This window comes from Homo sapiens, chromosome 15 (genome assembly GCF_000001405.40).
Source record: "Homo sapiens chromosome 15, GRCh38.p14 Primary Assembly".
Classification (NCBI taxonomy): Eukaryota; Metazoa; Chordata; class Mammalia; order Primates; family Hominidae; genus Homo; species Homo sapiens.
In genome coordinates, this window is record NC_000015.10 from 49385135 (window position 1) to 49401405 (window position 16271).

Consider the following 16271-nt stretch of genomic DNA (forward strand, 5'->3'; position numbering starts at 1 on the left):
TTATCAGGGCAGGTTTTCTCCTCTCCTATTTATTAGGAGAGTGGATCTAACTCCATCTTGACCAATTGTTTAAAGTACATTCATGTAACCTTAACCTGCATTTCTGATGCAGAGTAGTATATTAGTTAAGCACATAGGCTTTGGAGTCAGACGGACACAAATTTAAATGCCAGCTTTGCCATTTGTTGATTAAGTGACCTTAGGCAAATTAATTCCTTTAAGCCTGTTTCCTCAAACATAATTTGGAGATTATAATAATTACCTTATAAACTTGGTAAGTGGATAAAATGAGAATATATATGCAAAAACACAGTGTCTGGCATATTGTAAAGGTTGTATAAATGGTAATCAATATTGTTATTAATAAAAGGGGTTCTAAGCCTTAAAACAAAAGCCCAATACGCACCAAAATAGAACCTCTTGAAAGCTTAAAACTCACTGGGTCTATAAAACAGTAACACAATGAAAAAAAAAAAAACTAGGTAATAACATGATGAAGAGAACAGCACCTTACATCTCAATATTAATGTTGACTGTAAAAGGCCTAAATACTCCACTTAAAAGATACAGAATGGCAGAATGGATAAAAAAATCACAATAGAAATATCTACTTCAAGAGACTCACCTAACATGGAAAGATTCAAATAAACTCAAGGTAAAAGTGTGTAAAAAGGTATTCCATGCAAATGGAAACCAAAAGTGAGCAGGAGTAGCTATTCTTTTATCAGACAAAACAGACTTCAAAGCAACAACACTAAAAAAAGAAAGACAGTCCCTATTATATTGATAAAAGGATCAATTCAACAAGAAGAGATTACAATCCTAAATTTATATGTACCAAACACTGAAGCATCTACATTTATAAAACAATCACTATTAGACCTAAGAAATGAGATTGACAGCAAAACAATAATAGTGGGAGACTTCAGTGTGCCACTGACAGCACTAGCAGATCTTCAACACAGAAAGTCAACAGAGGAACAGTGGACTTAAATGACATGCTAGAACAAATGAACTTAAAGATATTTACAGATCATGCTACCCAAGATTTCCAGAATACACATTCTTCTCATGAGCACGTGGAACATTCTCCAAGACAGACCATATAATAGGCCATAAAACAAATCTCAATAAATTAAAAAAAAAAATCAAAATTATATCAAGTATCTTCTCAGGCCACAGTGGAATAAAGCTAGAAATCAACTCCAAAAGGAACCCTCAAAACTATACAAATACATGGAAATTAAATAAGCTGCTTCTGACTGATATCTGGGTTAACAATGAAATCAAGATGGAAATTTAAAAATTATTTGAATTGAATGATGATAATGACCCAAGTTATCAAAACCTCTGGAATACAGCAAAAGCAGTGCTTAGAGGAAAGTTTATAGTGCTAAATGCCTACATCAAGAAGTCTGAAAGTGCCCAAATTGATGACCTAATGTCACACCTCAAGGAACTAGAGAAACGAGAACAGACTAAACCTGAAGCTAGAAGAAAAGAAATAACACAGATCAGAGCAGAACTAAATAAAATTCAAACAAACAAAACAATACAAAAGATCAATGAAACAAAAAGCTGGTTCTTTGAAAAAAATAAACAAAACTGATAGACCATTAGCTAGATTAACCAAGAAGAGGGAAGATCCAAATAAGCTCAATTAGAAATGAAACTGGAGACATTACAACCAACACCACAGAATTACAGAAACAATCATTCAAGACTATTATGAACACCTTTATGTGCACAAACTAGAAAACCTAGAGGAAATGGATGAATTCCTGGAAACATACAATCCTCCTAGATTAAATCAGGAATAGAAACCTTGAAAAGACTAATAAGAAGCAGTGAGATTGAATCAGTAATTTAAAAATTGTCAACAAAATAAAAGCCCAGGACCAGATGGATTCACACCTGAATTCTATCAGACATTCAAAGAATTGGTACTAATCCTACTGAAACTATTCCAAAAGATTGAGAAGGAAGGAATCCTCCCTAAATCATTCTATGAAGCTAGTATCATTCTGATACCAAATCCAGGAAAAGACACAACAAAAAAAGAAAACTACCGATCAATTTTCCTTATGAACATAGATTCAAAAATCCCCCCCAAAATACTAGCTAAACAAATCCCACAGGATATCAAAAAGGTAATTCATCATGGTCAAGTGGGTTTCATCCCAGGGATGCTGGGATGGTTTAATATACGCAAGTCAGTAAGTGTAATACATCACATAAACAGAATTAAAAACAAAAACTATATTATTATCCCAATAGATGCAGAAAAAGCATTTGATAAACTACAGCATCCCTTTATAAGAACCAGGCATAGAAGGCACCTATATCAAAATAATAAAATCCATATATGACAAACCCATAGCCAACATCTTACTGAATGGGGAAAAGTTGTAAGCATTTCCCCTGAGAACAGAAACAAGACAAAGATGATCACTTTCACCACTCCTGTTCAACATAGTTCTGCAAGTGCTATCCAGACCAATCAGGCAAGAGAAAGAAATAAGGGACATTGAAACTGGAAAAGAGGAAGTCCAACTATCACTGTTTGCAGATGATATGACTGTGTACCTAGAACATCCTAAGTACTCCTCCAAAAGACTCTTAGATTTAATAAACGAATTCAGTAAAGTCTCAGGTTTCAAAGTCAATGTACAACAATATCATTGTTGATGTATAGCATCAAGCTGAGAATCAGATCAAGAACGTGATCTCTTTTATAAGAGCTGCAAAAAGGAAAAAATAAATAAAATACCTACGAATATATTTAACTATGGAGGTGAAAGATCTCTACAAGGAGGACTACAAGACACTGCTGAAAGAAATTATAGATGACAGAAACAAATGAAAACACATTTCATGCTCATGGATTGGAAGAATCAATATTGTGCAAATGATCATACTGCCCAAAGGAATCTACAGATTTAATACAATTCCCATGAAAATACCAACATTGTTTTTCACAAAATTAGAAAGAACAATCCTAAAATTCATATGGAACCAAAAAAGAGCCCAAATAGCCATAGAAATCCTACGCAAAAAGAACAAATTTGGAGGCATCACATTACCGGACTTCAAATTATACTATAAGCCTGCAGTTACTAAAACAGCATGATACTGATACAAAAGTGGGCACCTAGACCAAAGGAACAGAATAGAGAACCCAGAAATCAAGCCAAATACTTACAGCCAACTGACCTTCAATAAAGTACACAAAAATATAAGTTAGGGAATTGATATCATTTATTACATTAAATGGTGCTAGGAAAACTGCCAAGCCACACATTGAAGAATGAAACTGGATTCCTATCTCTCACCTTATACAAAAATCAACTCAAGATGAATCAATGAGTCAAATATAGGACCTGAAACTATACAAATTCTAGAAGACAACGTTGGAAAAACTCTTCTAGACACTGACCTAGGCAAAGAATTTATAACAAAGATCCCAAAAGCAAATATAACAAAAACAAAAATAAACAAATGAGACCTAATTAAACTAAAAACCTTCTGCACAACAAAAGAAATAATTGACAGAGTAAACAGAAAACCCACAGAATGGGAGAAAATATTTGCAAACTACACATCCGAAAAAGGACTAGTATCCAGAATGTACAAGGAACTCAAACAAATTACCAAGAAAAAATACAAATAATTCCATTAAAAAGTGGGCAAAGGACATGAATAGACATTTCTTAAAAGAAGATATACAAATGGTCAATAAATATATGAAAAAGTCCTCAACATCAGTAATCACCAGGGAAGTGCAAATTAAAACCACAATGAGATATCACAATGAATTCTGAAAGAATGGCCATTATTAATAAAAAGTCAAAAAACAATAGAGGTTGGCATGGATGTGGGAAAAAGGGAACACTTATTCACTATTGGTGGGAATGTAAATTAGTACAACCTCTATGGAAAACTGTAATGAAGGTCCCTTGAGGAATTAAATATAGAACTACCATTTGATCCAGCAATCCCACTGTGGGGTATCTACCCAAAGAAAGAAGTCATTATATGAAAAAGACACTTGCCCATGTATGTTTATAGCAGCACAATTCACAATTGCAAAGATGTAGAACCAACCTAAGTACCCATCAACTAATGATGGGATAAAGAAAATGTGGCACATACACACCATGGACTACTCAGCCATTCAAAGGAAATTACCTCTTTTGCAGCAACTTAGATGGAGCTGGAGGCCATTATTCTAAGTGAAGTAACACAGGAGTGGAAAACTGAAAACCATATGTTCTCACTTTTAAGTGGGAGCTAAGCTACCAGTATGCAAAGGCATACAGAGTGATATAATAGATTTTAGAGACTCAGAGCCGGGAGGGTGAGAGGAGGGCTAGAGATACAAAACTACACATTAGGTAAAATGTATGCTACTTGGGTGATGGGTGCACTAAAATCTCAGAATTCAGCACTATGTAATTCATCCATCCATGTAAAAAAAAAACCATTGTACCTCAAAAGCTATTGAATTTTTAAAAAGAAGAAAAAAGTATTGTTATTAATATTATTTCTTAAGGGATATAAATGCAAACTCACTATTAGTTCATACATATAAAAGCTTTGTTGAGAGAATATATATTTAGGAGTAACTTTTATCCCTTTCTTTAGGAAAGCTGAAACAATTCCTGAATTAAGGTAGACCAATAAAGAGCTATGTATCAGAACTGATTTTTCCTAGCCACTGGTAGAACCATTTTTACCAGCTTTTGCCTTGTCTTTATGCCCTTGGTCAACATCGTGCAATGTCATAGACTCAGTTCTGGCCGTATTTTCTATGTCAACATAACTCATTACTTTACGCAGTGCTTCTCTATGGAGAGTGTGGTAATCAGTTGGGCTGTTCAGAAATATTCACCTTTTCATCCTTCCAAGGCACAAGGTTGGACTGCAAACTGTCTTTAAGTTCATTGAAGATAAGTATGAACACGGGGCTTGCTCTGGGAAATGAAATGAAGAAATTTGAGCTCAAATGAAATGTGTCTTTTCCGAGTGGAAGCTTTAAGAACCACTATACGGGCCACCCAATTCTCTTCCACCTGCTGCACTGATTATAAATGAGATGAAGTCTCCTTTGGCTTGTATGTATGAGTTACTGTGGTAGATAGAGACCCCATCTTATATGCAATGGACACACAGTGTGAGTGAAAAATAAGCCTTTGTCAGCATAAGCCACTAAGATTTTACTAATGTTTGTCACTATAGCATAATTCTGTCTATCCTGTTTGATATAGGGATCCACAAGAAAAAAATACTATTTGTTCTTAGTATAAGGAATAGGTGTACTTGATGTGCACATTGTTTTGTTTTTGGATACTTCCCAATTATCCAAAGTGGCATTGTCATTTACTCTGCCTTGACAGACAGAATGCTCAGAGCCAATCTAATTCATGGGCCAAGTCTAGCAAAAGTAAAAGGTTTTTCAACAGAATTTCACATTCTAACCTCATTTCAGGCTTTTATCCTCCCTCCTATCTCACTTTTTGAATCCTCTTTTCCTTATCTGCTTATTTAAAATGTTATTTTATGCTGTTGTATTCAACATGTTTATGTACAGCTATGTAAAATAAACCTTATGTGAAAAAATGGGCATATACATAATTAAATACATATACAAATATACTGTCCATTCTTTTAATACTAACAAAAACTTTAAACATGTGACAACCAGTATGAACTGACCTATGTGCTTTGCCATACCTTTCAGTTATCCCTTCCTTGAAACAGCCTAACAACCGAGACACTGCTATTAACCTGGTATCTCCATTGGAAAGAACTGTCCTTAGGAAGACCATGGGATGAAGATTCAGGACTAGTTCTAGTTTAAATTTTTCAGACTACATATGTAGTTTCCGGCAACTCACTTTCCAATTGGGTCTCAACTTTTTCATTTGTAAAAGTGAGGAGTTTCAAAAAATTTAATTTATATTCAAATTATGTCCTTTATTTTAGATTATATGAATTAAGACATGAGGAGATAGATCAAATTAATCTACCTCTATTAAGCAGGAAAAAAACCACAAATATTTCTCCAGCCTAAATCAGCTATTTGCCATTTATTCATTTATTCACACATTTCTTTAAGAAATATCTCTTGTAGTAAGACAGAACAGAGACCCCTCTTAGGGGCCTGCTGGGACACCTCAAGCATGAAAATAAGGGAAAAGGCTTGAGTCCCTTCAAGAGAAATTCCAGGCATATAGCTAGCCTCGAGAAGTAAATCAGCAACTCAATAAGCAAGAAGGACAAGATGTTTGGTTCCCTATAGAAACTAAAGATGACACATGTCCCTGAGTTGTTTTTCAGAAACCCAGACCCCCATCAGATGGAAAAGGCCAACCACAGTCACACAGACTTCAGATAAAGGGAATATGAAATCTGATTGCTCTTCTTTGTTCTAAATTTTTTCCTGACGGGCCTGGAGAGAGTAATGCCCACAGGTCAAACCTCAACATTCCCTTCTGATGACCCCAAGTTTTTAAACAAAGCCTTGACTTCCTTAAGCAATTGCAAATCAAAGAATCTCTGAATCCACCTATGACCTGTGAGCCCCCACTTCAAGATAGCCTGCCATTTTGGGCCAAACCAATGTATTAATATAACCTCCAAGTATTGATTTACAATTTTGACTGTAACTTCTGCTTTCCTAAAAAGAGGTGTCTCTGCTTTTAAGAGCCCTTGCTTATAGGCCATTGGGGAGGCCAGCTCTTAAGGATTAGCTGCCCAATTCTCCTTGCTTGGCACCCTGCAAATAAATGCCCTCCTTACTCTTACTGCAAACGTTGGTGTGGGTATTTGGCTTTACTGTGCCAGGCAAGCAGACCCACATGTGGTTTAGTAACAGTAGACAACGAGAAAAACACTGCAAGTTTCAAGACAAGTAAAGAATACAGCCTTTAACAGTCAATTATGACCAAATGAGATGATAAAACATATTACAGGTCATACTTGTGGAAAAATTCAACATCTATTATAAATTTAATATGAGATAAAGGGGCAAATATATTGCATCAGAAATGAAACTTCTAGGATGCAAAAGAGACTGTGAACTGAACACCATCAGAAACTTCATTTGCAAGAAACTAACAGAATTTATGGAGGGCTTGAATTAGTACCTTGGAGAAGGATTGAGTTCTAGTAAAACATAATCTAAGAATCAATTTTATTTTTTAAATAATTGGTGCCACTATACTACAGTGGAATGTGCATGGGGAAGGACCTGCAAAAGATGTCTGTGCGATGAGGATGCAAAAGAGACTGTGCAATGAGGTAGTCAGTGAAGTCTTACTTAAAAACTGATTAGATTTGCATGGGTTCAAACATGGAAAATGAATTCAGGCAGTGGAGTGTATATAAAAGTGAGGTTGAGTAACAAGGCAAGACAATGAACAGACCACCCTGAGTGTCCTTACTTTAAGAACGTGAAGAAGACAAAGAGCAAAGGACATTAAGATGGAGTGGTTATCCAAGTGTAAGAAGCTTTTAAAAATGCATCTGTCAAGAAATAATGCGTTGAACTCAAATCTTTGAGGATGATTGAAATAACTGGTGGGTAATTATAAGTTCATTTAAATATTATAGTTGCTTAATGAATGACATGAGTGATGTGGCTTTACCCCTTAAGTCATAAGCTCTTAATGAGCCTAATTATTTCAAATGGTCATAGACTTAATTTCCCCACAGATTATTTGTAATGGAGAAAGGTAACATGATAGTCTATTGGAAGATTTTGAATTGGAAGAGAGAATTTTGAAATGTTTGCCAAGGGCTTGCTTGAAACTTTTTGTTAACTGAGTGTAGTTTTTTGTAATAGCAACAGGAATGGACCAATCCTACCACTATGAAAATCATGAAGAAAAGAGGAGCAAAGGAGTACATAGTTACCTGTTACTGTAGAAGTATAAAGTGGAGTATTTTTAATTTAAACATTTAAAACCTTGAAATAATGCAATCAAAGTGATAACAAAATTTATGTTTTGGTGAGTGAGGTCAGTGTATGTACACTTTATTTGAAATGCAGGTTTCTTTCAAAATGTGGGGAGAGGGCTCAAATGTGAAAGAGAGAAAACTTTCATGAGAGTTCAATGTGTTTTCCTCTTAGTGTAAATGGAGGGTGCTGTGGTTCACCCATATCATTTCCTCTTTGTTTGGAGCCATTGTGCTCTAATGGGAAAAATGCTAGCAGAAGTCTTAATGACGTAGTGTCAGTTCCCTACCCTTTCACTAAAATATTTCCATCGGAATGTTTACTGTAAGTCAGACTTCTGCACTGAACAAAAAACTAAAATTTAATTCCATTATTTTAAAAAATAAATTATAGGCTCTCAAATTTTTTCCACAGGTGGGTTCCCAATCTTCACCACTAACAATATGCCTTAAAATAAGTCCATATACCAAGATCAAATCTGCAAAATTTTGTTCTGTTGTTAATTAAACCAAGTCCTTTCTCAGTGAATGAGAAATTAACAGTTAAAATGAATGAATACAATAAGGATTGGCTCTTACAAGGCTGGTCATTCCAAATTCTTTGATCTGGCTACCACCAAGCTCCTACCCTGACTACTGCGACTAACTGAATCCAAACTTAATCAAATCAATCACACCAAAAGAAGGAACACCATCAGAAACTTCATTTGCAAGAAACAAACAGAATTTATGGAGGGCTTGAATTAGTACCTTGGAGAAGGACTGAGTTCTAGTAAAACATAATCTAAGAACCAATTTTATTTTTTAAATAATTGGTGCCACTATACTATAGTGGAATGTGCATGGGGAAGGACAGACTGGTATACAGGAGTGTTCTTTAAATGTCAAACAGCATAAGAAACACTTGAGAATCTTTTTAAAATGCATCCCTTTTTTGGATTAATTAGGTCTGGGGCCCAATAACATCACAGGTATTGGTGATGATACTGATCTGTGGAATCACCTTTGAGTAACAAGGGGATAGAGAACACAGAGCTAGAACAGTCCTTCTCTAATGATTTGACTTTGAAGCTTTCCCCCCAGCTGTAAAATGATACCATCAACACCAGTTCATAGGATAATTGGAGGAGTAAATGAAGATATATTTGTGAAATGCTAGGAAAAGCTGACCTTAGGTAGGAGCAAAAAAGGGAAAGCAGAGAATATGGTACATAGTGCTGGTAATTGGGTAGATGTGGTGGTGGGAATTTGTGGAGGTTCTCATTGCTTTAAATTTCTAATTGAAGTAGAAAACAAAGTCACCATCTGAGATTGAAGATGGGGAGGTAGTGCTGGAGAGTTGAAGAGAAATAAAGGTGGAAGTAGTTGTCTAGGTGCATGGGAGAAATAAAGTAATAGGGAATGCAGTAGGATTGTCTGACAGAATTAAGGCCGATTTGAGTTATATAATTATGAATTTAAAATGAGACTATTCGGCATGGTTGTATAATTTCTGTATACAGTTAGCTGCACAAATTCAGGTGTGGAGAATTATCTTTAATTAGGTTTGCGGCTTTTTCAGTGAACTGAAAAGGAAGAATTGCAAAAGAGTTGAAGGTGAGTGCAAATAAATAACTATAATGATTAGCCATGTTTAATTTAGGTAAGGAAGAAAGGACTTCAGTGAGTTAGGAGCAGTAGGAAGGTAATAAAGTCTATATATTGCTGAGATTTCATTTATGACAGTATGTGGAAAATGTTTGTAATTGTTCCATTTGTACCTTCACTTGAAAAGAATGTATAGTCTTGACTGTTGAATGCAGTGTCTAATACACACACACAAACACACACACGCATGCCAAACTTACAAATGTTCTCCTAATAAATATTCTTTAACAATTCTTTGTCAGAGTTAACTACTGTTATTTAAGAGAGGAGGATTAAAATATTATATTGTTGTTACGGATTTGTCAGTTAATCCATGAGAGTCTGAACATTTTTGCTTTATATATTTCTAGCCAATATTTTTGGTACACACATATTAATACTTACCAATGTCTTCTTCCTTAAATTTTAATTTATTCTATATGAATATTACCATGTTAGCTTTCTTTTGGTAAATAGTTACATGGTATTTTCTTTTTCTATTGCTTTGTTTTCAACTTTTCTAGGGGGTTTTAAGGTTTTTTTTGTAAGAAGAATAAAGATGGTTTAAAAAAATCACTTTTGCTTCTCAGTAAGATATAGTAGTTCTTGTAGGCAATGTTTCCACTTCAATAATGAGAAAAAAGTAGAGATATTACAAAAATGCTATTTTAAGGACACTGGAAACAACGGGCAAGGGAGAGGCTAAAATTCTAGAGGGAAGAGTCCTATGTGAGCTGTCACTCTCAGTTATTTTCATCCCTTGAAAGCATCTACGGATTCTGAGTACTGCTGAGAATCAGGGTTAGCATAGGCAGAAGTACATTACTATGGAAGAGATGAACCATCAGAACTTTGGACAATTATGCAGGCAGTTATAAAAATTTAAAGCAGCATCACATACATGGCAGCTAATTTTTACCACAGGATATTTGCTGAGTTATGTGGTGTTTTGAAAGGCTGAGGCAGGGCTGGGTCAGAAACTTCTGAAGTCTCTATGATGTCTTTTACAGTTCTTACAGCGACTACGAGGCAGTCTTGCAAATACCTGGTTGGTCTTCTCATCAAGACATATATTAAATTTTGAAGATGTGTGGTATCGAAGTTTAAAGAGTTAAACTCAACACATTCAAAGGATAGAATTGAATCTCTCTAAATTTTCATGGCTGAGGATTCAGAAACTTCCAGGTTCTTAATTTAAGGCCCATGAATGCCATGTCCAAAGAACAGAGGAGAACAAAATGTGGGTTAATCTTACCAAAACTGGGGGCGAGGAGCCAAGATGGCCAAATAGGAACAGCTCCGGTCTACAGCTCCCAGCGTGAGCGACGCAGAAGATGGTGATTTCTGCATTTCCATCTGAGGTACCAGGTTCATCTCACTAGGGAGTGCCAGACAGTGGGCGCAGGTCAGTGGGTGTGCTCACCGTGTGCGAGCCGAAGCAGGGCGAGGCATTGCCTCACTTGGGAAGCGCAAGGGGTCAGGGAGTTCCCTTTCCGAGTCAAAGAAAGGGGTGACGGACGGCACCTGGAAAATCGTGTCACTCCCACCTGAATACTGTGCTTTTCTGACGGGCTTAAAAAGCGGCGCACCACGAGATTATATCCCACACCTGGCTCGGAGGGTCCTACGCCCACGGAGTCTCGCTGATTGCTAGCACAGCAGTCTGAGATCAAACTGCAAGGCGGCAGCGAGGCTGGGGGAGGGGCGCCCGCCATTGCCCAGGCTTGATTAGGTAAACAAAGCAGCCGGGAAGCTCGAACTGGGTGGAGCCCACCACAGCTCAAGGAGGCCTGCCTGCCTCTGTAGGCTCCACCTCTGGGGGCAGGGCACAGACAAACAAAAAGACAACAGTAACCTCTGCAGACTTAAATGTCCCTGTCTGACAGCTTTGAAGAGAGCAGTGGTTCTCCCAGCACCCAGCTGGAGATCTGAGAACGGGCAGACTGCCTCCTCAAGTGGGTCCCTGACCCCTGACCCCCGAGCAGCCTAACTGGGAGGCACCCCCCAGCAGGGGCACACTGACACCTCACACGGCAGGGTACTCCAACAGACCTGCGGCTGAGGGTCCTGTCTGTTAGAAGGAAAACTAACAAACAGAAAGGACATCCACACCAAAAACCCATCTGTACATCACCATTATCAAAGACCAAAAGTAGATAAAACCACAAAGATGGGGAAAAAACAGAACAGAAAAACTGGAAACTCTAAAAAGCAGAGCGCCTCTCCTCCTTCAAAGGAACGCAGTTCCCCACCAGCAACAGAACAAAGCTGGATGGAGAATGATTTTGACGAGCTGAGAGAAGAAGGCTTCAGATGATCAAATTACTCTGAGCTACGGGAGGACATTCAAACCAAAGGCAAAGAAGTTGAAAACCTTGAAAAAAATTTAGAAGAATGTATAATTAGAATAACGAATACAGAGAAGTGCTTAAAGGAGCTGATGGAGCTGAACACCAAGGCTTGAGAACAACGTGAAGAATGCAGAAGCCTCAGGAGCCGACGCGATCAACTAGAAGAAAGGGTATCAGCCATGGAAGATGAAATGAATGAAATGAAGCAAGAAGGGAAGTTTAGAGAAAAAAGAATAAAAGGAAATGAGCAAAGCCTCCAAGAAATATGGGGGCTATGTGAAAAGACCAAATCTACGTCTGACTGGTGTACCTGAAAGTGATGGGGAGAATGGAACCAAGTTGGAAAACACTCTGCAGGATATTATCCAGGAGAACTTCCCCAATCTAGCAAGGCAGGCCAACGTTCAGATTCAGGAAATACAGAGAACACCACAAAGATACTCCTCGAGAAGAGCAACTCCAAGACACATAATTGTCAGATTCACCAAAGTTGAAATGAAGGAAAAAATGTTAAGGGCAGCTAGAGAGAAAGGTCGGGTCACCCTCAAAGGGAAGTCCATCAGACTAACAGCGGATCTCTTGGCAGAAACCCTACAAGCCAGAAGAGAGTGGGGGCCAATATTCAAAATTTTAAAGAAAAGAATTTTCAACCCAGAATTTCATATCCAGCCAAACTAAGCTTCATAAGTGAAGGAGAAATAAAATACTTTACAGACAAGCAAATGCTGAGACATTTTGTCACCACCAGGCCTGCCCTAAAAGAGCTTCTGAAGGAAGTGCTAAACACGGAAAGGAACCACCGGTACCAGCAGCTGCAAAACCATGCCAAAATGTAAAGACCATCAAGACTAGGAAGAAACTGCATCAACTAACCAGCAAAATAACCAGCTAACATCATAATGACAGGATCAAATTCACACATAACAACATTAACTTTAAATGTAAATGGACTAAATGCTCCAATTAAAAGACACAGACTGGCAAATTGGATAAAGAGTCAAGACCCAACAGTGTGCTGTATTCAGGAAACCCATCTCACATGCAGAGACACACATAGGCTCAAAATAAAAGGTTGGAGGAAGATCTACCAAGCCAATGGAAAACAAAAAAAGGCAGGGGTTGCAATCCCAGTCTCTGATACAACAGACTTTAAACCAACAAAGATCAAGAGAGACAAAGAAGGCCATTACATAATGGTAAAGGGATCAATTCAACAAGAAGAGCTAACTATCCTAAATATATATGCACCCAATACAGGAGCACCAAGATTCATAAAGCAAGTCCTGAGTGACCTACAAAGAGACTTAGACTCCCACACATTAATAATGGGAGACTTTAACACCCCACTGTCAACATTAGACAGATCAACGAGACAGAAAGTCAACAAGGATACCCAGGAATTGAACTCAGCTCTGCACCAAGCAGACCTAATAGATATCTACAGAACTCTCCACCCCAAATCAACAGAATATACATTTTTTTCAGCACCACACCACACCTATTCCAAAATTGACCACATACTTGGAAGTAAAGCTCTCCTCAGCAAATGTAAAAGAACAGAAATTATAACAAACTATCTCTCAGACCACAGTGCAATCAAACTAGAACTCAGGATTAAGAATCTCACTCAAAACCGCTCAACTACATGGAAACTGAACAACCTGCTCCTGAATGACTACTGGGTACATAACGAAATGAAGGCAGAAATAAAGATGTTCTTTGAAACCAACGAGAACAAAGACACAACATACCAGAATCTCTGGGACGCATTCAAAGCAGTGTGTAGACGGAAATTTATAGCACTAAATGCCCACAAGAGAAGGCAGGAAAGATCCAAAATTGACACCCTAACATCACAATTAAAAGAACTAGAAAAGCAAGAGCAAACACATTCAAAAGCTAGCAGAAGGCAAGAAATAACTAAAATCAGAGCAGAACTGAAGGAAATAGAGACACAAAAAACCCTTCAAAAAATTAGTGAATCCAGGAGCTGGTTTTTTGAAAGGATCAACAAAATTGATAGACCGCTAGCAAGACTAATAAAGAAAAAAAGAGAGAAGAATCAAGTAGACGCAATAAAAAATGATAAAGGGGATATCACCACCGATCCCACAGAAATACAAACTACCATCAGAGAATACTACAAACACCTCTATGCAAATAAACTAGAAAATCTAGAAGAAATGGATAAATTCCTCAACACATACACTCTCCCAAGACTAAACCAGGAAGAAGTTGAATCTCTGAATAGACCAATAACAGGATCTGAAATTGTAGCAATAATCAATAGCTTACCAACCAAAAAGAGTCCAGGACCAGATGGATTCACAGCCGAATTCTACCAGAGGTACAAGGAGGAACTGGTACCATTCCTTCTGAAAATATTCCAATCAATAGAAAAAGAGGGAATCCTCCCTAACTCATTTTATGAGGCCAGCATCATTCTGATACCAAAGCCAGGCAGAGACACAACAAAAAAAGAGAATTTTAGACCAATATCCTTGATGAACATTGATGCAAAAATCCTCAATAAAATACTGGCAAAACAAATCCAGCAGCCCATCAAAAAGCTTATCCACCATGATCAAGTGGGCTTCATCCCTGGGATGCAAGGCTGGTTCAATATACACAAATCAATAAATGTAATCCAGCATATAAACAGAGCCAAAGACAAAAACCGCATGATTATCTCAATAGATGCAGAAAAAGCCTTTGACAAAATTCAACAACCCTTCATGCTAAAAACTCTCAATAAATTAGGTATTGATGGGACGTATTTCAAAATAATAAGAGCTATCTATGACAAACCCACAGCCAATATCATACTGAATGGGCAAAAACTGGAAGCATTCCCTTTGAAAAGTGGCACAAGACAGGGATGCCCTCTCTCACCACTCCTATTCAACATAGTGTTGGAAGTTCTGGCCAGGGCAATTAGGCAGGAGAAGGAAATAAAGGGTATTCAATTAGGAAAAGAGGAAGTCAAATTGTCCCTGTTTGCAGACGACATGATTGTATATCTAGAAAACCCCATTGTCTCAGCCCAAAATCTCCTTAAGCTGATAAGCAACTTCAGCAAAGTCTCAGGATACAAAATCAATGTACAAAAATCACAAGCATTCTTATACACCAACAACAGACAAACAGAGAGCCAAATCATGAGTGAACTCCCATTCACAATTGCTTCAAAGAGAATAAAATACCTAGGAATCCAACTTACAAGGGATGTGAAGGATCTCTTCAAGGAGAACTACAAACCACTGCTCAAGGAAATAAAAGAGGATACAAACAAATGGAAGAACATTCCATGCTCATGGGTAGGAAGAATCAATATCGTGAAAATGGCCATACTGCCCAAGGTAATTTACAGATTCAATGCCATCCCCATCAAGCTACCAATGACTTTCGTCACAGAATTGGAAAAAACTACTTTAAAGTTCATATGGAACCAAAAAAGAGCCCGCATTGCCAAGTCAATCCTAAGCCAAAAGAACAAAGCTGGAGGCATCACACTACCTGACTTCAAAGTATACTACAAGGCTACAGTAACCAAAACAGCATGGTACTGGTACCAAAACAGAGATATAGATCAATGGAACAGAACAGAGCCCTCAGAAATAATGCCACATATCTACAACCATCTGATCTTTGACAAACCTGAGAAAAACAAGGAATGGGGAAAGGATTCCCTATTTAATAAATGGTGCTGGGAAAACTGGCTAGCCATATGCAGAAAGCTGAAACTTGATCCCTTCCTTACACCTTATACAAAAATCAATTCAAGATGGATTAAAGACTTAAACGTTAGACCTAAAACCATAAAAACCCTAGAAGAAAACCTAGGCATTACCATTCAGGACATAGGCATGGGCAAGGACTTCATGTCTAAACACCAAAAGCAATGTCAACAAAAGACAAAATTGACAAATGGGATCTAATTAAACTAAAGAGCTTCTGCACAGCAAAAGAAACTACCATCAGAGTGAACAGGCAACCTACAGAATGGGAGAAAATTTTCGCAAACTACTCATCTGACAAAGGGCTAATATCCAGAATCTACAATGAACTCAAACAAATTTACAAGAAAAGAACAAACAACCCCATCAAAAAGTGGGCGAAGGACATGAACAGACACTTCTCAAAAGAAGACATTTATGCAGCCAAAAAACACATGAAAAAATGCTCATCATCACTGGCCATCAGAGAAATGCAAATCAAAACCACAATGTGATACCATTTCACACCAGTTAGAATGGCAATCATTAAAAAGTCAGGAAACAACAGGTGCTGGAGAGGATGTGGAGAAATAGGAACACTTTTACACTGTTGGTGGGA

The 16271-nt window shown here is 37.5% G+C and overlaps 1 protein-coding gene across 20 annotated transcripts in view, besides 1 other annotated feature; it reads right to left on the reverse strand.

Annotated features, from left to right (window-relative positions):
* The window catches only part of FAM227B (family with sequence similarity 227 member B), a 293849-nt gene that overhangs the window by 58165 nt on the left and 219413 nt on the right, over nucleotides 1-16271 (reverse strand). The window lies entirely within an intron of this gene.
* Nucleotides 11051-11564: an enhancer, noted in NCBI's record as "OCT4-NANOG-H3K27ac hESC enhancer chr15:49688382-49688895 (GRCh37/hg19 assembly coordinates)". NCBI's record gives its function as "activates a minimal SCP1, AML or CMV promoter by ChIP-STARR-seq in primed H9 embryonic stem cells {active_cell/tissue: H9 hESC(primed)}" and the evidence as "EXISTENCE:reporter gene assay evidence [ECO:0000049][PMID:30033119]".